The sequence below is a fragment of the Homo sapiens genome, chromosome 5 (assembly GCF_000001405.40).
Source record: "Homo sapiens chromosome 5, GRCh38.p14 Primary Assembly".
NCBI lineage: Eukaryota > Metazoa > Chordata > Mammalia > Primates > Hominidae > Homo > Homo sapiens.
In genome coordinates, this window is record NC_000005.10 from 140,644,985 (window position 1) to 140,665,361 (window position 20,377).

Sequence of the window (20,377 nt, forward strand, 5' to 3'; positions counted from 1 at the left end):
GCTGTTCAGGTCTTCCTGCAGCAGTCAGGGCTGCAAGCCCTGGAAAGGCATCAGGAAGAGGCCCAGCTCCAGGATCGTGTGTATGCTCTCCAGCAGACAGCTCTTCAAGGGTGATCTTGTTTCTCAATGTCACTCATTCCCCTCTCTCTTAACATCAAGCTTGTTTGTCCAGTAGAGCCTTTGGAGATTTAGGACCATAATGAGGTCTCATGTTCTCTGCTCCCACACCTAAGCCAAGACCTTTGGGTCCCAGCTCCTCCCCTTCCACTCAGCACTATCCAGGCAGGAGGACCAAAAGGGACTCAGTGTGGTCTACTTACTCTGGGGCCCTAGAATCCCTGCCCCCCCGCCACCCTTCATGTTTGCTTCAGCAGCTGGTAGCTTTTGATGAGACAGAATAAAGTTTTATTTTTATATTAAGCTACTTTGCCTCAGTGGTTGCACAGTAAGGGGTAGAGGGTAGATGAGGACAAGAACACCCTGAGAAAGTATTTTACAGCACAAGCTTTATGAGGAATAGGAGAACACATTTTTTTCACATTATACTAAGTCCAGCAGAGCCCAGGCTCTGGGGCTGTTGCTCTTAATCCTCAGTGGAGGCTTCAGGCTTTACCACTTAGAACGTTCTCCAGGGCTCTGGTTACCTGATCAGCACTGAAGTTGTTCAAAGGGACATTCGTCTCTTGGCCAAATGCTGAAGAGAGAGAGGGAGGTGTCTTTAACTATTCTGCACCCTGGAGGCTACCAAAGTAAAATAAAAGATCTTTGTCTTTATCTTAGTCTTGTTAAGACAGGAAGAGTATTAAAGAGATATGATCAAAATACATTTGGTATGCCTAGAATTAATACAATAGGTCTCAAACACATCTAGGAAGCCCAAGTCCAAATAGAATTTTGGCTGATTCTGGATGGCCGCAATGGGTTGTTTCAGGGAAGCTTTCGGGGGCACTGTAGGCATTTATTATTAACTACGGTGAGCAATGTATTGCATGGGTCCAGCCTCAGCTGGGAGCCCATTCTCTCTCTTTTTTTTTTTTTTTTTTTGAGACGGAGTCTCGCTCTGTCACCCAGGCTGGAGTGTGGTGGCACGATCTCCACTCACTGCAACCTCCACCTCCTGGGTTCAAGCAATTCTCCTGCCTCAGCCTCCTGAGTAGCTGGGATTACAGGTGCCCGCCACCACACCCGGCTAATTTTTGTATGTTTAGTAGAGACGGGGTTTTACCATGTTGGCCAGGCTGGTCTTGAACTCCTGACCTCAGGTGATCCACCTGCTTCAGCCTCCCAAAGTGCTGGGATTACAGGCGTGAACCACCGCACCCAGCTGGGTACCCATTCTCTAGGCTCCCATAGGCTATCTAACATAATACCCAGCACAATACACTAAAGTTACTCGTGTCTATCTCCTCCTGTAGTCTACTGGCTTTTGGAAGGAGAAGCTTTTTTCCTTCTCCAATTATTAGTGCATGTCTAATGTCTACTGTGTCTCACAGATATCTACTCTGAGAACCAATCTGCTTAAGGTGGTCACTCTCCTCCACCTCCTCCCGTCATTCCCAGGGCACCATATAGTTAAAAGCTGTGATTAAAATCCTGTTATTCAGTATGTATAAACATTTATTGCATACCTACAATGTGTTAGGCAACATGATAGGAAAATTTCATTTTGCAATACATTGCCATGCCAGTCTTAGAGGGGTAAGTGCATTCTAGGAAGGGGAATAAATGTAAAGGCTCAATCCTGTTAAACTCTAGCTGCATCTAAAGTTGCAGCTAGAGTTTAACAATAGTGCAAAACAAAGTTTTGATTCCGTTTTCTAATCTCTACAGTGAGAAAAGAAGAACACGCTTCCTCCTAACTAATGAAGATTAAATGAGTTAGGCAGGGAAGCACTCAGCACAGGGCCCAGCTCTATGTGCAAAATTACTGAGATTCTCACACACTACCTGGACTGACACTGGCTACACGTTATTTGGAGAAACTATATTGACTAACTTCTCTCCTGTCTGAAGCCCATTCTTAACTACAAAAACGTCAGCTCCTGGTCCCTACGCAGGATTCGGTCAGCCTGCATACTTATGTTGCCCGGAATACAACGCATCATATAACCCTGCGAATATAAATTTCTTCATGGAAACAAGATCAACAGCAAGGCTAAAGTCCGAGTTCTAGTTTCTCCACGGGTTTCTGCACGACCTTGGGCGGTCCCTTCTCTTCTCAAACCCTTGTTCCCCTACCGGAGCCCCAGACCCCTGGCGTCCCGCACTCACCGTAGCGGGCCCAGAGCTTGGGCTGCACATCGGAGCATTCGCGGATTAGGATGGGTAGGTCGGGATTCGCCTTCTTCAGCTCCACGTAGCGTTTCTCAATGAAGTCCCTGCGGGGCCGGAGAGAGCGCCGCGCGTGCTGTGGGCGGGGGCTTCCCTCAACTTCAGGGAGGTCGAGGTCGTGACCCTGGCGTCCCGAAGCCCGCCCGCCTCACCACGCCGCGCCTCACCTGACGCCCTGGCTGCCGGGCGAGCGCTGACATAAGTGGATGCGAATCTCACGCAGGCCCAGCTTTGCCCCGACTCCTCGACTTGCTGCGGCCGCCGCCATCCTTGTTAATATCGAAGTCGCCAATTCCAGGTCTTCAGGCCAAGTGCTCCGGTCTGACCAACCGCGGACCCTAAAGCCTAGCCCATAGGCTGCATGAGGCAGGGGCGGGGTAAAGCTTGGCCAATGATATAAAAGTATTGTAGGACCGCTGCGAGGTCAATTTCTTTGCGCTCGGGGTTGGTCGGAGGGAAAAACAGGAAGCGGAAAGGCTGCGAACGCAAAGCAGTGTGGGTTGATTCTGAGGTGCACTGTGGGAAAGAGCTTGTCGCTGCGGTGTTGCTGTTGGAGACTCGATTGTTGGTGACAGCGAAAGAACGATAACAAAATGCCGGAGCGAGATAGTAAGGCTCAGGCCATCCGTTATTTCTTCCCCATGGCACTTGGGGCACTTGGCGCATTATTGTAGCTTCTGAGCTTAAGCCGGGTGTGTGTGTGTGTGTGTGTGTGTGTGTGTGTGTGTGTATGTATGTATGTGTGACGCTTGAGCCCGGAGAAGCCACAGGGTCCTAAGTGAGGCCGACAGCTCCAAACTCCGTCCCCAGTCCTCACTCCTACTCCAAGTGATGATGGGCGGCTTTTGTGCGTGGATCGCTTTCCCCCAGTCCTGTCCCCATACTTAATCCTGGGTTGCGCGTATTTATCTTTTACGTAGTATTTTAGACGTGATCTTCCGGAAGTCTTCTCTGATCCTCCAGCGCAGGATTAGGGTCCTCTGCTTTGTGCTCCCACAGCTTCTTGTAGTTTCCTATTTCAGCACTTATTACATTGTGTTGACACTGTCGCTGTTCTAACTTTTGTTCTGTATTGTTCACTACTATATCTCAAATTTTTGCATAGGATCTGACACGTAAGAGACTGATTAAATTAACGTCAATTTTTTTTGTCAGGTGAGCCGTTCTCCAACCCTTTGGCCCCCGATGGCCACGATGTGGATGATCCTCACTCCTTCCACCAGTGAGTATTTTGTGCTAGGACCATGGAAATGAGTTGGGCAATGAATAGAAAAGTGGTGGTGATGGTGAAAGAATTCTGAATGTCTTGTCATCAAGGATGGTAAAAAATTATACCCGCTGGCCCTTTATCTCTGTGAGCCTTAACTGGATCAGGCCAAGTGCATAAGGGTATTAGAAGGGAAATTCCTGCAGGAAAGGTGTTAAGTTTTTTTTTTTTTTTATACGTGTTGTGTAATTACACATTATATAGGAATTACTTCTTCCAATAGCAAATTAAAACATAGGAAATAAGGGTAAAATCATCTTTTTATTTTTTTTGAGACTGAGTTTCGCTCTTGTTGCTCAGGCTGGAATGCAGTGGTGCGATCTCGGCTCACCACAACCTCCGCCTCCCGGGTTCAAGCAATTCTCCTGCCTCAGCCTTCCGAGTAGCTGGGATTACAGGCATGTTCCACTACGCCCGGCTAATTTTGTATTTTTAGTAGAGATGGGGTTTCTCCATGTTGATCAGGCTGGTCTTGAAATCCCGACTTCAGGTGATCCACCCGCCTCTGCCTCCCAAAGTGGTGGGAGTACAGGCGTGAGCCACCGTGCCTGGCCCCCGATAAAATCATCTTTGATAACATCCCCAATTCCAGTCCATTTCTTTTTTTTTTTCTTTTCTTTTCTTTTCTTTCTTTTTTTTTTTTTTTGAGACGGAGTCTCACTGTTACCCAGGCTGGAGTGCAGTGATGCAATCTTGGCTCACTGCAACCTCTGCCTCCTGAGTTCAAGCGGTTCTCCTGCCTCAGCCTCCCAAGTAGCTGGGACTACAGGCATGTGCCACCATGCACGACTGATTTTTTTTTTTGTATTTTTAGTAGAGACAGGGTTTCACTGTGTTCGTCAGGCTGGTCTTGAACTCCTGGCCTGAAGTGATCCACCCGCCTCAGCCTCCTAAAGTGCTGGCATTACAGGCGTGAGCCACCGTGCCCAGCCTCAGTCCTTTTCTTAGAAGTAACCACAGTTACCTTTTTTGGCATATCTTTTCCTCCCGTTGCCCAGGCTGGAGTTCAATGGCATTATTTCTGCTCACAGCAACCTTTGCCTCCTGGGCTCAAGCAATTCTTCTGCCTCAGTTTCCCCAGTAGCTGGGATTACAGGCATGCCCCACCATGCTTGGCTAATTTTTGTATTAGTAGAGACAGGGTTTCGCTATGTTGGCCAGGCTGGTCTTGAACTCCTGACCTCAAATGATCTGCCCGTCTCGGCGGCCCAAAGTGCTGGGATTACAGGCGTGAGCCACTGCGCCTGGCCCTCCTACTCTTTTTTAAATGCATTTATACACATACATGCATATCTGAGGAAAACACAACATTGCTTTGTGATTTAAAATATTTGAGTTAAATGATATTATGCTGTATATATCATTTTTGCAACTTGCTTCTTTTTAAACCCTGCTCAGTGTTTCTGAGATTATCTTTCAGAGCAGTGACAAGCATTCCCTCCTTGGCTAAACTTTAGTCAGGTTCCCCAAAGAGTCCCATTTTTCAGCAGGACTCATCCGTGGCCTGCTGAGCACAGTTTTAACAAAGAAATCAACCACCGCTCCACCCCCATACCTAACCAAGTTGCTTTTAGTAATTTTCTATAAATTCTCACTTGTCCCTGTTGTATTCGGAATTAAGTTCAGTCTCTCTACTCTATTACAATGGTCTTGACTCTTGTTACAGTAGTCTTCAATAAAGTCTTCCTTGGGGAGAAGAGGAACTTGATTAGATATCAAGTTGGATTGGATATCAAGAGTGGGAAAACTTTCTGTGAACTGACTTAGGATTCCTTTTTAAAACTGAGGTCAGCAGGCCAAGGAAGAGCCCTAGTCAGAAGAGAGCTTTAAAGGAGTCTGACTTTAATTTGATCAAGAGAGGAGTCTTTGTTAGTGTACCAATTAAAATAATCTCTTGTACCATTAGTGCTGTCTTTCCCTCTTTGGGAAACACCATCATAGTTTAGTCAGTCTCCAGCTAATAAACGCTTAGTCTGTTTCAGACTGATTCTTTTCTTTTTTTTATTTTTTTGAGACAGAGTCTTGCTCTTTTTGCCCAGGCTGGAGTGTAATACCTAGATCTCGGCTCACTGCAAACTCCGCCTCCCAGGTTCAAGCGATTTTCCTGCCTCAGCCTCCTGAGTAGCTAGGATTACAGGCGCCCACCACAACGCCCAGCTAATTTTTTTGTATTTTTAGTAGAGATGGGATATCACCATGTTGGCCATGCTGGTCTTGAACTCCTGACCTCGGGTGATCCGCCTGCGTCAGCCTCCCAAAGTGCGGCGATTATAGGTGTGAGCCACTGCACCCGGCCAGACTGATTATTTTCAAGGCTATAACTGAATTAAATTTACAGGCCTTCTTATATACATATGTCAGTAATGGACCAGGCTAAATATAAATAAATGGAGTTGCTGGCTCATAGGATATATATACTTAAATTTTAACAAATACTGCAAAATTGCCCTTCAAATTGGTTATACTGGTTTACATTCTCATCAGCATTATATGAGAGAGTCCCCTTCCCAAATTCTCACTCACACTTGATTTATCAAACTTTCTGGTAGTTAACACTCTGATGCATTAAAAGTGGCATGGCATATCTGGTCGGGCGTGGTGGCTTACACCTATAATCCCAGCACTTTGGGAGGCTGAGGTGGGCAGATCACCTGAGGTCAGAAGTTTGGGACCAGCCTGGCCAACACCTCTAATAAAAATACAAAAATTAGCTGGGTGTGTTGGCGGGCACCTGTATTCCCAGCTACTTGTGAGGCTGAGGCAGGAGAATTACTTGAACCCAGGAGGCAGAGGTTGCAGTGGGCTGAGATCATGCCACTGCACTCCAGCCGGGGCAACAGAGGGAGACTCTGTCTTAAAAAAAAAAAAAAAAAGCTGGGTGCGGTGGCTCATCCCTATAATCCCAGCACTTTGGGAGGCCGAGGTGGGTGGATCACAAGGTCAGGAGTTCAAGACCAGCCTGGCCAATATGGGTGACAGTGAGACTCCGTCTCAAAAAAAAAAAAACAGTGTCATATCTTTGTTTTAATTTGTATTTCCCTGATTTCTGTTAATTTAATCATGATTTTTACTTGTTCCTTTTTCATTTCTTATTGAGTCCTAATATTTAAAATCTTTGCCTTTTCTTCTAGATCAAAACTCACCAATGAAGACTTCAGGAAACTTCTCATGACCCCCAGGGCTGCACCTACCTCTGCACCACCTTCTAAGTCACGTCACCATGAGTAAGTCTTTGGGTGATCCAACCTGTCTCCCAACTTGTTTCTTGCTCCTTCCTATTTCTTTCTACTAAGTAGAATGACTTTTAATAGTCCCTCAGGTATTTATGATACTCTCTAAAGTTTGAGAACTGCCCACCTACAAATATTGGTGTGGATTTCTGCTTGATTGAAAGTGTTACTTTGATCAGTATTCTAGGTCTTTCTAAAAATCCTCAAGGAGACTTCTTGGGGTTTCTGGGGCTGTGGCAATATTTTGCTATCAGTGAATTTCTCGTCTCTTCTAGGATGCCAAGGGAGTACAATGAGGATGAAGACCCAGCTGCACGAAGGAGGAAAAAGAAAAGGTGAAGGAAGGGTGAAGGGTTTTAGATTTTAAGGTGGATAGTGTTTAGGGGAAAGAAGTAGGGGCTAATTATGAAGCTAGAAACTAAGATTTTGTCTTGAGGCTCTCTACTTTCTTAATGAAACAGAGTGATACTTAGAGTGGCAGTAGAGGGCTTTGGAATAGGCCTATCTATATTTTAATCTCATCTTCGCTAGTTTCTTGGTGGATAACCTAGACATTTGCTTAGCCTCTCTAATCCACAGATAGAATGGAGATACAGTAGCAATAATAACTTTTATCAGGATGTCATGAGGATCAGCTGTGAAAGTACATGTAGGCATTTAGCACCAATGCCTGGCATATGGTAACCACCCAATAAATCTTGACGGCCATCATCATTATTATATCATCATCGTTATTTATATGATACGAAAGTTTCAGGACCTGGTACTTGGCTTTTCCTTTATTCTGAGAGTGGACCAGCAAATAATACGTTCTTTTCAGCTGAAATTTAGAAGGTGGTAAAAATTCAGAAGATTTTCTGATTTTTGTGTGGAAAAGTCTTATATCTATAGAGAATTGGTAGAGTTGGGTGGTATTAAAAAGTTCTGAAGTGACAGATGGAGTGTCCCAAGTTGGCACTGGAAAAGTATATCTATAAGCTGGAAGAAGTTGTAGTTCTGATTTTGAGTAACTACGAAGAGGTGGCCAGCAGTTCTATCAGGACAGACATGAGCTTTTCCCCATAGAGAGTAGGTTGGAGATGTAGGGAAGCAAGCAGGAACAGTTCTGTTGACCTTGAGGTAGCAGCTGATGAGCCTTATACATTTGCCTTTCTCTGGTCACAGTTATTATGCCAAGCTACGCCAACAAGAAATTGAGAGAGAGAGAGAGCTAGCAGAGAAGTACCGGGATCGTGCCAAGGAACGGAGAGATGGAGTGAACAAAGATTATGAAGAAACCGAGCTTATCAGCACCACAGCTAACTATAGGGCTGTTGGCCCCACTGCTGAGGCGTGAGTACTGAGGGAACAGGGCATGGTTCCCTCAGCATCCGAGAGTCATGCAAATACAATGTGAACTCTTCCTCTTACTTTCCTGCCCTGGAGCCTACAATAAGCGATTTCAGAGGCATTTGCCACCCACAAAGGGCTGTTCTTTTTTTTTTTTTTTTTTGAGATGGAGTCTCGCTCTGTCACCCAGGCTGGACTGCAGTGGCACGATCTTGGCTCATGGCAAGCTCCGCCTCCCAGGTTCATGCCATTCTCCTGCCTCAGCCTCCCGAGTAGCTGGGACTACAGGCGCCCGCCACCACGCCCGGCTAATTTTTTGTATTTTTAGTAGAGACAGGGTTTCACCGTGTTAGCCAGGCTGGTCTCGATCTGACCTCATGATCCACCCGCCTCGGCCTGCTGAAGTGCTGGGATTACAGGCGTGAGCCACCGCACCTGGCCCCCCAACCCCCTTTCCCCCACCCCCTTTTTTTTTTTTTGGAGACAGAGTCTTGCTCTTGTTGCCCAGGCTGGAGTGCAGTAGCGCGATCTCAGCTCACTGCAGCCTCCGCCTCCCATGTTCAGGCGATTCTCTTGCCTCAGCCTCCCGAGTAGCTGGGACTACAGGCGCCCACCACCATGCCCAGCTAATTTTTGTATTTTTAGTAGAGATGGGGTTTCACCATATCCACCAGGCTGGTCTCAAACTCCTGACCTTGTGATCTGTCCGCCTTGACCTCCCAGAGTACTGGGATTACAGGCGTGATCCACCACGCCTGGACAGTACTGTTCTTATGTGGCCTCTTTCATTATACAGGGACAAATCAGCTGCAGAGAAGAGAAGACAGTTGATCCAGGAGTCCAAATTCTTGGGTGGTGACATGGAACACACCCATTTGGTGAAAGGCTTGGATTTTGCTCTGCTTCAAAAGGTGAGTCCTGGTGGTCAGGTGGGGAGTAATACTGTCGTGCTGAATGCTCTTGTATGGGTCTGGCAAGATGAGGAGGGAGATTCCTGAGAGTTCAGACTGAGTAGAAGAAGGGCTAAAGATGGCCCCTCTGAAAAGCTGATTGCTACTCATCCTTCAAGTATCAGGCCAAATTTTATTTCCTTGGAGAAACCTTCCCTGATCACCCAGGTGTGGTTAAGCACTTCCCTTCACCTCCTGCTTCCTGTACCTTTGCATAGCCCTTCTGTTTCATTTACCACAGCAGTTATTGTACTTTGTTGAAATTGTTTAATTTGTCTGTCTCATCTGCTATAAGCTCCATTAGAGTAAGAACAATATCTGTCATGTTTAATATTATATTCTTAGTTCCTGGTACAGTGTGGTGTAGTGGATGTTCAATAAATATATAAAATGAGTGTCCTAACCCTGCTTGCTTTCCTGTTAGGTACGAGCTGAGATTGCCAGCAAAGAGAAAGAGGAAGAGGAACTGATGGAAAAGCCCCAGAAAGAAACCAAGTAAGTAAATATTATGGAAAGGTTGAGAATTTAGAAAGGTGGGACCTAAAGTTAGAGCACATTTAGCAAAAATAAAACTTTTTTGTCTTTTCAGGAAAGATGAGGATCCTGAAAATAAAATTGAATTTAAAACACGTCTGGGTGAGTACAGTTTCTATACTAGTGACTATGCATTCTGGATGAATTGTACGGAATTTAATGCTCTGGGAAGGATATGCTTCTCCTTTCCCCCAACCTCCTTTCTTCTTTCTTTCTTTTTGAGACAGTGTCTCACTTAATCGCCCAGGCTGGAGTGCAGTGGTGTGATCATGGCTCAGTGCAGCCTTGACCTCCTGGACTCAGCCTCTTGTGTAGCTGGCACCACAGGCATGTGCCACCATACCTAGCTAATTTTTTTTTTTATTTTTTGCAGAGATGGGGTTCTCTGTGTATTGCCCAGGCCGGTCTCAAACTCCTGGGCTCAAGTGATCCTCCTGCCTTGACCTCCCAAAGAGCTGGGATTCTTTCTTGCCCCCAAAACAACTAACTCCCATAAAATACTCTAATAAGACTCAGACATAGATTTAATTATTTCATATGTCATTTATGTCTCCTCAGGTAGATTGAAAGATTTTTCAGTTTGGGGCTTATGAGTTAAAAGAAGTAACATGGTTAGTGATTAAAAGTTCAAAACTTGGAGTCAGAGAGACCTGAGTTTAAACCTTGATGATGAAACAGCACTAAGTGTATGATTTTAGGCAACTGACTTTGCTGTTTGTTCATCTGTAAAAATTGGGTTACTATTTACCACATGACTTTATTGTAGGGATGAAGAAAAATGAAATCTATAACATGCCTATCATATTGAGCAGGTAGTAGAGCTGTTTTTTCCATCATCATCAATATTACCTTAAACTTCATCCTTCTTCCTCACAGGACTTAATACAATACAGGTGCATAGTGCCCTTGAAGAGGCAATGTAGAAGAGTGGACAGGAGCCCAGGCTTTGGAGTTACATGGCCTGGTTCCATTCTTTGCTCCATTACTTAGTAGATACATGACTTTAGGTAAATTACTTAAATCTCAGCCATAGTATTCTTATCAGTAAAAAGGATAATAATATCCACTTCATAGGGCTGTTGCAAAGATTAAATGACGCAAAGCTTGCATAGCACTTGGCATGGTGGCTAGCACAGAGTAAGCACATAAGTGACAGCTGTTCTTGTAGATCCTGGCTACTTGCTGCTCTTCTCCTTATTGTAGGCCGCAATGTTTACCGAATGCTTTTTAAGAGCAAAGCATATGAGCGGAATGAGTTGTTCCTGCCGGGCCGCATGGCCTATGTGGTAGACCTGGATGATGAGTATGCTGACACAGATATCCCCACCACTCTTATCCGCAGCAAGGCTGATTGCCCCACCATGGAGGTGAGTGAATGGAATCCTGAGAGCCTATCATGTGAGCCTCAAGCCTGGGAATCAGCCTGGCCTCTGCCCCGTGTCCCTTGTCCACCATGTCACCAAGTGCTGTTCACTTTTACCTCCTAAATCTCAACTGAATCCATTCACTTTTCCACTTTTTCACCAATAACATTCCAGTCTAAGCTATAATCATTTGCTGGAACTATTAACTTACTATTTTTTTAGAGACCAAGTCTCACTCTGTCACCCAGGATGGAGTGCAGTGGTGCTATCTTGGCTCACTGCAAACTCCGCCTCCCAGGTTCAAACGATTCTCCTGCCGCAGCCTTCCAAGTAGCTGGGACTACAGGCATTCATCACCACACCTGGTTAATTTTTTTATTTTTAGTAGAGATTGGGTTTTACCACGTTGGCTAGGCTATTCCTGACCTCAAGTGATCCATCCGCCTTGGCCTCCCAAAGTACTGGGATTACAGGCATGAGCCACTGCGCCAGTCCTCTGGAGCTATTAAAAAGGCTTCTAATTGGTTTCCGCACTTCCACTCTGGTTTCCGCACTTCCACTCTGATTTGTTATTATATCTTGTTATTGAGGTGTTATTCACATGCCATATAATTCATCCTTTAAAGAGAATTTTTTTAAAAATTTTTGTGGATATATAGTAGGTATATATATTTATGAGGTACATGAGATGTTTTGATACAGGCATATAATGCATAATAATCACATCATGGAAAATGGGGTATCCATCCCGTTAAACATTTATCTTTTGTGTTACAAACAATCCATTTATACTCTTTTAGTTGTTTTAGAATGTATAAATTATTACTGCCTATAGTCACCCTGTTGTGCTATCATGTAGTAGGCCTTATTCATTCTTTCTATTTTTTTGGTACCTATTAACCACCCCTACCTCCCCTACCCTTCTAAAATATACAGTTTGGCTGGGTGCAGTGGCTCACACCTGTAATCCCAGCACTTTGGGAGGCTGAGGTGTGAGGATCACTTGAGGTTAGGAGTTCAATACCAGGTGGGCCAACATTGTAAAACCTGATCTCTACTAAAAATTAGCCAGGCGTGGCGGCATGTGCCCGTAATCCCAGTTACTCGGAAGGCTGAGGCATGAGAATTGCTTGAACCCAGAAGGTGGAGGTTGCAGTGAGCCAAGATCGTGCCACTGCATTCTAGCCTGGGCGACAGAATGAGACTCTGTCTCCAAATAAATAAATAAAATGTAAATTTTTGTCTCACTACAGTTTAGAAGCTTTTAGTAGTATCTCATTCTTAGGATAAAGAGCAAAATCTTTACCATGACTTTGAGCCTCTGCAACATCTGGCCTTTCTAGAATGTTCTAGACTCCTGACTTTCTTGAATGGTCTTGATTCATTTTGATGCAGGGCTTTTGTGCAGGCTGTTTTATCTCTGGAATATCCTTTCACAGCACTTCGTTTCCCTCCCTTCACCTACTGTATTGTAATTCAGTCTTTAGTTTGTTAAGTGAATGAATGAATAAATGAAGAGATTTCTGCTGAGTGGTTTAACATTCTTGTTTCTTGGTATTTTCAGGCCCAGACCACACTGACCACAAATGACATTGTCATTAGCAAGCTGACCCAGATCCTTTCATACCTGAGGCAGGGAACCCGTAACAAGAAGCTTAAGAAGAAGGATAAAGGTACCTGGAGGGTTAGAGAGAGAAGCCTTACCCACAGAGGACGTTTGGGGATAAAACCAAGGTCTCCTGGAGCTTTCTGTCTCCAGAATATTGAGAGGCTCCTGGGAAGCAGAGAAAAATGGGAGTACTGGAGCATTGGCAAGGAGACAGTTACAGCCAGATTCTGTCTCCTTAACCTACCTAAGAAGCAGTGGTCAGGTCTGAAGCATGAGGGATGGAGAGTGGGTAGCTTATGTCCTATTTATTTATTTTTTTTAAAAGAGATTTTTTGGTGAAAACCAGAAAACCTAGACAGATTCTAAAAAGGCTCTAATACTTGACCGACATTTTATTTTATTTTATTTATTTATTTTTTGAGACGGAGTCTCGCTCTGTCACCCAGGCTGGAGTACAGTGGTGCGATGTCTGCTCACTGCAACCTCTGCCTCCCGGGGTCAAGCGATTCTTCTGCCTCAGCCTCCCAAGTAGGCACTATAGGCACTATAGGCACGCATCACCACGCCTGGCTAATTTTTGTATTTTCAGTAGAGATGGGGTTTCACTGTATTGGCCTGGCTGGCCTCGAACTCCTGACCTTATGATGTGCCCACCTCGGCCTCCCAAAGTGCTGGGATTACAGGCATGAGCCACTCTTCCTGGCCTTATTTTATTATTTTTATTTATTTATTTATTTTGAGACGAGTCTCGTTTTGTCGCCCAGGCTGGAGTGCAGTGATGCCATCTCGGCTCACTGCAACCTCTGCCTCCTGGGTTTAAGCAATTCTCTTGCCTCAGCCTCCTGAGTAGCTGGGATTACAGGCACCTGCCATCACACCCGGCTAATTTTTTTGTACTTTTAGTAGAGATGGGGTTTCACCATGTTAGCCAGGCTGGTCTCAAACTCCTGACCTCAAGTGATCCGCCCGCCTTGGCCTCCCGAAGTGCTGGGATTACAGGCGTGAGCCACCGCACCCAGCCTTGACCCACGTTTTAAACAGAAGATGTTTAAAAGGGCATTAAGAGCTGGAGAGGATGGTGAAGTTCAGTGGAAATTAACTGAGGAGTATGTTCCTGACTCCTCTCTTTAAATTTCAGGGAAGCTGGAAGAGAAGAAACCTCCTGAGGCTGACATGAAGTATGTATCCTAGCCCCTGGCATCTGATCAGAGGGAGGGGGTCTGTACATTTCTTGTGTCTGGCATTTTGGGGAGGTGCTGACATGAGAATCTGGAGAAATGGTCAGGGGGAGTGAAGGTGTATGTGTGAATTTGGCCAGCTAGTGATCTCCATTTTCCCAGTATTTTTGAAGACATTGGGGATTACGTACCCTCCACAACCAAGACACCTCGGGACAAGGAGCGGGAGAGATATCGGGAACGGGAGCGTGATCGGGAAAGAGACAGAGACCGTGACCGAGAGCGAGAGCGAGAACGAGATCGGGAACGAGAGCGAGAGCGGGACCGAGAGAGAGAAGAGGAAAAGAAGAGACACAGCTACTTTGAGAAGCCAAAAGTAGATGATGAGGTGAGATGTGGGCCCTTAGTACCAGGTGATGGAGTTGCCCCTCTCTGGAAATGTGAGCAAGGTTGGGTAAGGAATTGTTTCAAACTTGGGGGAGGGATGAGTAGGAATCTCTCATGGTAACACTAACTTCACATTTTGTGTTCTTTCCAGCCCATGGACGTTGACAAAGGTGAGTTGTACACACAGCATCTCACAGTTGCTCTAGCAGTCCTGCTTTCCCCTGGTAGGGCTCAGAGCTGGCAACGGTGGGATTGGGGGACCTCCTGGTTCTGGGTTCTTGTAAGAACTGTGTCTTGCTTTATTGAATAGGTGGAGTTCCCTCCACCTTCCTGGGCCATGGCAGGGCATATTTGCTCTTAGATATAATTCCTGTGGCCCTGGGGTTCTGAGGAGGTGAGGTAGAGGTCAAGTATGGAATGTTCTGGATACCCTACCCTCATCTCAACCAGAGTGACTCATTAATTGGAGTTTGTTTAAAACTTTGTTAGACAAAAGGGTTCTATGCCTTAAAAATGTTTTTTAAGTGTGTTGTGGGGAGGAGGTTGTGAGAGCCTCAGTTCAAGGTCTGGGCTGAGTTCTCTTTTCTCCTAGGACCTGGGTCTACCAAGGAGTTGATCAAGTCCATCAATGAAAAGTTTGCTGGGTCTGCTGGCTGGGAAGGCACAGAATCATATCCTTTATTTTAATACGTTCCTGGGTTCCAGAGAACTGGTCTCTTTACTCCAACCCCCCCTGCCTCCCTGCTCCCTCCTACCCTGCCCCTCTCCTTCCCTTTTACGCTGAATTTTGACAGAATGAAACCATCCCTTGTTCCTTCCCAGAGCACCCATAACAGCTCACAGCCCACTCAGAATTTTCATGTTGGGGCTTCTAGCCCTTGGCCCCCTCCTGGCTGAAGCTTTACAGCAATAGGTAGAATCCTGTGTAGTGTTTTCTTTAACATAGCATATGCTGAAGAAGCCAGAAGACAAAAAGCAGCTGGGAGATTTCTTTGGCATGTCCAACAGTTATGCAGAGTGCTACCCAGCCACGTATGTGAAACCTGGTTAAGGAAGGGAGGCTGGGATGATTGGGAAACAAGTTGGGGGTGAAATGGAAATTTGATTCGCTAAGTCCCAGGGCTACTTCTTTTTTTTTTTTTTTTTTTTTTGGAGACAGAGTCTCACTCTGTCACCCAGGCTGGAATGCAATGGTATAATCTCTGCTCGCTGCAATCTCCATCTCCCGGGTTCAAGCGATTCTCCTGCCTCACCCTCCCAAGTAGCTGGGATTATAGGCATGCATCACCACACCTGGCTAGTTTTTGTATTTTTAGTAGAGATGAGGTTTCACCATGTTGGTGAGGCTGGTCTTGAACTCCTGACCTCAGGTAATCTGCCCTCCTCAGCCTCCAAAAGTGCGGGGATTACAGGAGTGAGCCACTGCGCCTGGCCCAAGGCTACTTCTTACTTGGATGAACTATTTTATTAGGCTCTAAGTGGGAGGTCTAGGGGGTGGTCATTCCTATGCAGATAACCTCTTAGTCGGGTAGGTTTCCAGATGAAGCATAGGGTCAGGGTATGCAACATCTGTTTAACTCTTGCTTCTCCTTAGGATGGATGACATGGCTGTGGATAGTGATGAGGAGGTGGATTATAGCAAAATGGACCAGGTATGTAGTTAGAAGGATGGTGGGCGCCTTTGGGCAGTTATTATTTGTTTTACATGTATCTCCTTCCCCACTCCTAAAAAATCTATCTCATTTACTGGGCCCCACCCTCCTTTAGCTGCAGCAGTAGAAACAGCAGCATTGAGGGTCATGAGCAGCTTAACTATTTCAGAGTCTTTGCACAAGATCAAATGACATAGGGTCAAAAATCTATTTTTTACTTCCTATAGCAAAGTGCCAGGCTTTGATTCCCATGGTAGGCAGTAAGCAAGCATCAATGCATAAGTAGAAAGGGCAGAAAAAATTGCAGTCTTTGGAAAATAACTAAATTTTATTCTAGCCAGGATTGAAGTTTTCCTCTAAGTCTTAAGCAAAATTAAAAAGAAAAAAACCACTAATGCCACTAATAGTGAAGAAGTCTGTGTTCTTCCCCTGAGTTCACTGTATTGAAATAGCATGGTTTAATCTTGGAGCCTTGTTTAATCCTGCCTCTACTGTTTATTAGTTTTGTGAACTTGCCAAGTTCTTTCACTGTTTATGCCTCAGTTTCCTCATCAGGAAAATGGAGAGAAATATAGTTCCCTCTTCATAGATTTTATGAGAATTAAGTGAGATATGCATTTAGTGTACAGAATAATGCCTGTCACATAGTAAGTATGTAATAAGCATTTATTATTACTTATCAGGGTATGATTTATGAATTGTGGAACCTGGGATTATGGGAGAGTCTGGCTTCAATCAAGGGCTGAAATTCCATTTCCACTGACATCTCTTCCTTCCCCATCCCCCGATTCTGTCCTGCAACAGGGTAACAAGAAGGGGCCCTTAGGCCGTTGGGACTTTGATACCCAGGAAGAATACAGCGAGTATATGAACAACAAAGAAGCTTTGCCCAAGTGAGTCGGTACTGAATATGGGCAGGGTGTGAGGAGGGGTGTGGGGATTTGGTGGAATAGTGCATATAAGGTTAGAGGGTGTGGTCTGGCTGAGATGTTCCCCACTAAGTTCTTTGCCCACAGGACTCTGGGAAAACCTCGCCACTGCTATGCAATCTCTGATGCATTCTTTCCCAACTGCTTTTTTCAGGGCTGCATTCCAGTATGGTATCAAAATGTCTGAAGGGCGGAAAACCAGGCGCTTCAAGGAAACCAATGACAAAGCAGAGCTTGATCGCCAGTGGAAGAAGATTAGTGCAGTAAGTAGGATGGCCCCTTGGGTGGGAGGGTTTCAGCTGGGAGAAGACATTAGCCTGCAGATTCAGGAACAGGCAAGGGGCTGGAGAGCCATGGAAATGAGAGGTCAGCCTTGGGCCTCAGGTGAGCTTAGATGGGCAGCTTGGTGATAGACTATCCTGTTGTTTTTGCAGATCATTGAGAAGAGGAAGAAGATGGAAGCTGATGGGTGAGCGGCATTATTCTTCCTCTGTGGGACTGGTGGGAATTGCTTAGTGTATTGATCTTATACTGACCCATTTCTCCTTCCATTGCAGGGTTGAAGTCAAAAGACCAAAATACTAATCACTAGTTACAACCAGAGATGCTCCACAAGGATATGCTCCCCACTGTTTTCTTTCTACAATTTCCAAAGGTTGCAAGATGTTTTTTTGTGGATGAATATAAAATTTTATTGTGTAATTACTTGGTTCCATTAAAATTGGTTAACTTGCTATTTTCTTTGTTGAGCATGTCCCCTCCAGTGCCCTTGAAGCACCAAGAACACTAATTCCACTGGTTGTGTAAAATCACATGCAGAAAGTCATCAGTCCTTTCCTGAGCTGTGGTTCTAGATTCCTAGACAGTAAGGATGCTCTCTAGCCAGTGTGCCCAGTAGAGAAGAGAATAATGATCCTCACTGATGGGCAAGAGGTGGATAGAGGAATGTAAGTATGATTGGTCTCAAATGTCAGACTCATTCCGGCCCATCTTCAGGCCTAGTCCCTGGGGAAAGATTTCCTGGGGATTGCTGTCAGCCTGATGGGCTGCTAATCTGATCTCCAGGCTATGAAGGACTGGGCTCTGGATGAAGGCATCTAATGAAAATCACTTATGGGTGGGAACCAAAACCTTTTATGAGTTTATGTACTATGAGCTTTATTAATGTTGAGTACAAATCACTGTCTCCTTGGCTAAAGGTGTAACCTTAGGGAAGTGCTTTGGGTTTAGAGCTGATATAGTGTGGCCCTGCAGGTACAGGAATTCCTATCCTAGACCAGAAGGGTTTGGTGCCCTTCATCACCCTGAAACATTTGCCAAGGCCCAGAATAGGTCTGTTGACCTTTGAATCACACCATTCCCTTCCCTTTTCTTCCCTTCTGCTCATTACCAGCACTTTGGCCTGGTGCTCATCATTAGGTGTCACTACTGCTTCCTGGCTGGATGCCACGCTGCCACTGTCTACCCTGAGCCCAAGATTTGTGGCCTCACCAGATCCAAGAAAGCTAGAAAGTCACCTTAGCCATTACCTTGTCTTTGATTATATTCACCTTGGTAGGACAGGTTTTTGTGAGGAAGCCAGTATTGTGCATGGCATGTAAGAGGCTGAAATTGGGCCTTGCTGCAATAGCACCTAGAATGGCTAATTTCAGACAAATGACACCATGGTTCTATGGATGTAGGTAGGCAGTCCCAATTATTAAAAATGGTCACAGAGACATGGCACAGGTGAAGACATCTGGAGAGTCACTAAAAGCAAGACCTGGAGATTGTGGGTTTGAAATTCAGTTTCTGAGGCCAGGCTCGATGGCTCATGCCCACAGTCTCAGTGCTTTGGGAGGCCAAAGCAGGAGAGTCTCTTGAGGCCAGGAGTTCATGAGTCTATAGCTATGCAGGAGGATCGAACCGAAGAGTTCAAGGCTGTAGTGAGCTATGATCACACCACTGCATTCTGAGCCTGGGTGACAGAGCAAGACCTTGATTTAAAAAAAGAAATTCAGGGGCTGGGCGCCGTGGCTCACGCCTATAATCCTAGCACTTTGGGAGGCTGAGGTGGGAAGACACGTCAAGAGTTCAAGGCCAGCCTGGGCAACATACTGAGTCCTCGTTTCTACAAAATATACAAAAATTGGCCAGGTGCGGTGGCTCACGCCTGTAGTCCCAGCACTTTGGGAGGCCAAGGCGGGCGGATCACGAGGTCAGGAGTTTGAGACCAGCCTGGCCAACATGGTGAAACCCTGTTTCTACTAAAGATACAAAAAATTAGCTGGGCGTGGTGGCATGCGCCTCTAGTCCCATCTACTCGGTAGGCTGAGGCAGGAAAATCTCTTGAACCCGGGAGACGGAGGTTGCAGTGAGCCGAGATCGCACCATTGCACTCCAGCCAGGGCGAGACTCCGTCTCAATAAATAAATAAAAATTAGCCAGGCGTGGTGCCGCGTGCCTGTAGTTCCAGCTACTCGGAGGATCGCTTGAGCCGAGCGGTGATCGTGCCACTGCACTCCAGCCTGCGCGACAGCGCAAGACCCTGTCTCAAAACAAAGCAAAACAAAAAAGAAAAAAAAATTCTTGGTAACTGAGCACTGCTTGTCCAGCCCATTGAGTTTCTGTAGACAAATTGTAGGAACTGGCACAGCAAACTGGCCACAAAGACGTTAGGGGCGTGGACACCAGCTGCTTGAGCTGCCTGCTGTCCCAGACTCCCGTATGTCATCGCGCAGCGTGGGATTTTGCGGCTTCCTGACAGCCCAGGCTGTCGCTTGACTTGATCTTGGGTTTCACCAAGCCACGAAGGACTAGCGTCCCTCTCTCCTATCCCAAGGGCATTAAGCCTGTCTGGATGAAGTAGGAGAGGAAAGATTTACACGCAGTTCTCAACTTTACGTGACGTGACTAGGGAGGGAATTGACGGTCGCACCGTCTACCTAGCCCAAACGGGGTCACAGCAGGACAAGGAAGTAGCCGATCTCCCAGATGCGGTCTCTTCGCTCCGCTCCACCCGCACCAGCAGCGGCCCACCCACCTCTCCTGTAAGAGGAAGAACGTCCCGGAGACACTTCCGGCCCCGCCCCCCGAGGCGGAAGCGGAGTGCCAGGCTACTCCTCCCGCAGTGTGGGTGGTTCCGAGGCTGACTACCCTGCGGCGGCGCGGCTCGCAGTCCTTCTCAGCATGGACCGCACTTGTGAGGAGAGGCCCGCTGAGGATGGGAGCGACGAGGAGGACCCAGACTCCATGGAAGCCCCAACCCGGATCCGGGACACTCCGGAAGACATCGTGCTGGAAGCTCCGGCTAGTGGGCTGGCGTTCCATCCGGCCCGTGACCTACTGGCTGCAGGGGACGTGGACGGGGACGTGTTCGTGTGAGAGCGGGGCAGGGCCGGGGCGCCGGGTCTGGAAGCTTCCCGGGGGTGGACCTGGGAACAGGAGAGATGAGAGAAAGTTGCAGGGAGACAAATTTTGCAAGATTCTTTGGGTCCAATTTATTCAGTAACATTCGGCTCTTCTATCACACCAATCTGTTGAAAGAACTGGAATGTCGTGACAGAGCCCAGATACCGTAGTAGGCCAAAAAGCCCTTTAAGGCCTTGTTATTTCCCACCGATTATTATTTATTTACT

At 46.2% G+C, this 20,377-nt stretch overlaps 4 protein-coding genes, 1 long non-coding RNA gene and 1 other non-coding gene across 24 annotated transcripts in view, besides 7 other annotated features; 4 read left to right on the forward strand and 2 right to left on the reverse strand.

The window, feature by feature from the left end:
- Positions 1 to 2,748, forward strand: part of TMCO6 (transmembrane and coiled-coil domains 6) — a 51,203-nt gene extending 48,455 nt beyond the window's left edge. For 13 of the 15 annotated variants that reach the window (XM_047417356.1, XM_047417357.1, XM_024446125.2 and 10 more), the window contains one exon: positions 1 to 420. In XM_047417356.1, the coding sequence (XP_047273312.1) occupies positions 1 to 114 (114 nt within the window). In that variant the 3' untranslated portion in view covers positions 115 to 420. Of the gene's footprint in view, positions 421 to 1,830 lie in introns of those variants that run through there. The other 2 variants (XM_047417354.1, XM_011537663.3) reach the window with 2 other exon arrangements.
- Positions 301 to 2,646, reverse strand: NDUFA2 (NADH:ubiquinone oxidoreductase subunit A2). 3 transcript variants are annotated; one of them, NM_002488.5, is made up of 3 exons: positions 2,499 to 2,646; positions 2,272 to 2,378; positions 301 to 694 (listed from the first exon to the last, which is right to left on the reverse strand). In NM_002488.5, exons 1-3 carry the CDS (start codon positions 2,597 to 2,599, stop codon positions 603 to 605), a joined length of 300 nt encoding a protein of 99 aa, NP_002479.1. In that variant the 5' UTR covers positions 2,600 to 2,646; the 3' UTR covers positions 301 to 602. The 3 variants fall into 3 exon arrangements, 2 of the variants coding, with proteins under 2 accessions (NP_002479.1, NP_001171941.1); NM_001185012.2 differs by having other exon boundaries at positions 383 to 741; NR_033697.2 differs by having other exon boundaries at positions 2,272 to 2,646.
- Positions 2,224 to 2,643: an enhancer, noted in NCBI's record as "active region_23281". NCBI's record gives its function as "activates an Ori minimal core promoter by ATAC-STARR-seq in GM12878 lymphoblastoid cells {active_cell/tissue: GM12878}" and the evidence as "EXISTENCE:reporter gene assay evidence [ECO:0000049][PMID:35858748]".
- Positions 2,224 to 2,919: a biological region, named in NCBI's record as "H3K27ac hESC enhancer GRCh37_chr5:140026953-140027488".
- Positions 2,384 to 2,919: an enhancer, noted in NCBI's record as "H3K27ac hESC enhancer chr5:140026953-140027488 (GRCh37/hg19 assembly coordinates)". NCBI's record gives its function as "activates a minimal SCP1, AML or CMV promoter by ChIP-STARR-seq in naive H9 embryonic stem cells {active_cell/tissue: H9 hESC(naive)}" and the evidence as "EXISTENCE:reporter gene assay evidence [ECO:0000049][PMID:30033119]".
- Positions 2,845 to 17,496, forward strand: IK (IK cytokine). The gene is made up of 20 exons (NM_006083.4): positions 2,845 to 2,940; positions 3,487 to 3,553; positions 6,730 to 6,822; positions 7,104 to 7,163; positions 7,993 to 8,160; positions 8,954 to 9,068; positions 9,532 to 9,602; positions 9,697 to 9,743; positions 10,845 to 11,008; positions 12,570 to 12,678; positions 13,753 to 13,792; positions 13,955 to 14,180; positions 14,331 to 14,349; positions 14,772 to 14,850; positions 15,131 to 15,211; positions 15,774 to 15,831; positions 16,636 to 16,724; positions 16,915 to 17,023; positions 17,195 to 17,229; positions 17,318 to 17,496. The coding sequence occupies exons 1-20, from the start codon at positions 2,925 to 2,927 to the stop codon at positions 17,343 to 17,345; spliced, it is 1,674 nt and encodes a 557-aa protein (NP_006074.2). The 5' UTR covers positions 2,845 to 2,924; the 3' UTR covers positions 17,346 to 17,496.
- Positions 2,860 to 2,942, forward strand: MIR3655 (microRNA 3655). Its single transcript, NR_037428.1, has one exon. It is a non-coding gene; the product is annotated as a microRNA 3655 (primary transcript).
- LOC124901088 (uncharacterized) overlaps positions 17,427 to 20,377 on the reverse strand; it is a 3,027-nt gene continuing 76 nt past the window's right edge. The window contains exon 2 of the long non-coding RNA XR_007058968.1: positions 17,427 to 20,173. This is a non-coding gene — a long non-coding RNA (uncharacterized LOC124901088). The remainder of the gene's footprint in view (positions 20,174 to 20,377) is intronic.
- Positions 19,331 to 19,997: an enhancer, noted in NCBI's record as "NANOG-H3K27ac-H3K4me1 hESC enhancer chr5:140043900-140044566 (GRCh37/hg19 assembly coordinates)". NCBI's record gives its function as "activates a minimal SCP1, AML or CMV promoter by ChIP-STARR-seq in naive H9 embryonic stem cells {active_cell/tissue: H9 hESC(naive)}" and the evidence as "EXISTENCE:reporter gene assay evidence [ECO:0000049][PMID:30033119]".
- Positions 19,331 to 20,054: a biological region, named in NCBI's record as "NANOG-H3K27ac-H3K4me1 hESC enhancer GRCh37_chr5:140043900-140044566".
- Positions 19,415 to 19,574: an enhancer, noted in NCBI's record as "active region_23282". NCBI's record gives its function as "activates an Ori minimal core promoter by ATAC-STARR-seq in GM12878 lymphoblastoid cells {active_cell/tissue: GM12878}" and the evidence as "EXISTENCE:reporter gene assay evidence [ECO:0000049][PMID:35858748]".
- WDR55 (WD repeat domain 55) overlaps positions 19,920 to 20,377 on the forward strand; it is a 7,442-nt gene continuing 6,984 nt past the window's right edge. For all 3 annotated transcript variants that reach the window (XM_017009600.3, NM_017706.5, XM_005268469.4), the window contains exon 1: positions 19,920 to 20,119. Coding sequence is in view for 2 of the 3 variants with exons in the window: in NM_017706.5 (NP_060176.3) it covers positions 19,929 to 20,119 (191 nt within the window). In the remaining variant the exon portion in view is untranslated. The remainder of the gene's footprint in view (positions 20,120 to 20,377) is intronic.
- Positions 19,925 to 20,054: an enhancer, noted in NCBI's record as "active region_23283". NCBI's record gives its function as "activates an Ori minimal core promoter by ATAC-STARR-seq in GM12878 lymphoblastoid cells {active_cell/tissue: GM12878}" and the evidence as "EXISTENCE:reporter gene assay evidence [ECO:0000049][PMID:35858748]".

What these genes read in the sequence shown, in the direction of transcription:
- NDUFA2 (NM_002488.5), bottom strand. Translation starts at nt 2,599, where the DNA reads ATGGCGGCGGCCGCAGCAAGTCGAGGAGTCGGGGCAAAGCTGGGCCTG. An exon ending in CCCGGCAGCCAGGGCGTCAG is followed by an intron (nt 2,379 to 2,498) that starts GTGAGGCGCGGC and finishes CCGGCCCCGCAG; the next exon opens with GGACTTCATTGAGAAACGCT. An exon ending in CAAGCTCTGGGCCCGCTACG is followed by an intron (nt 695 to 2,271) that starts GTGAGTGCGGGA and finishes CTCTCTCTTCAG; the next exon opens with CATTTGGCCAAGAGACGAAT.
- IK (NM_006083.4), top strand. An exon ending in AACAAAGAAGCTTTGCCCAA is followed by an intron (nt 16,725 to 16,914) that starts GTGAGTCGGTAC and finishes TGCTTTTTTCAG; the next exon opens with GGCTGCATTCCAGTATGGTA. An exon ending in AGTGGAAGAAGATTAGTGCA is followed by an intron (nt 17,024 to 17,194) that starts GTAAGTAGGATG and finishes TTGTTTTTGCAG; the next exon opens with ATCATTGAGAAGAGGAAGAA.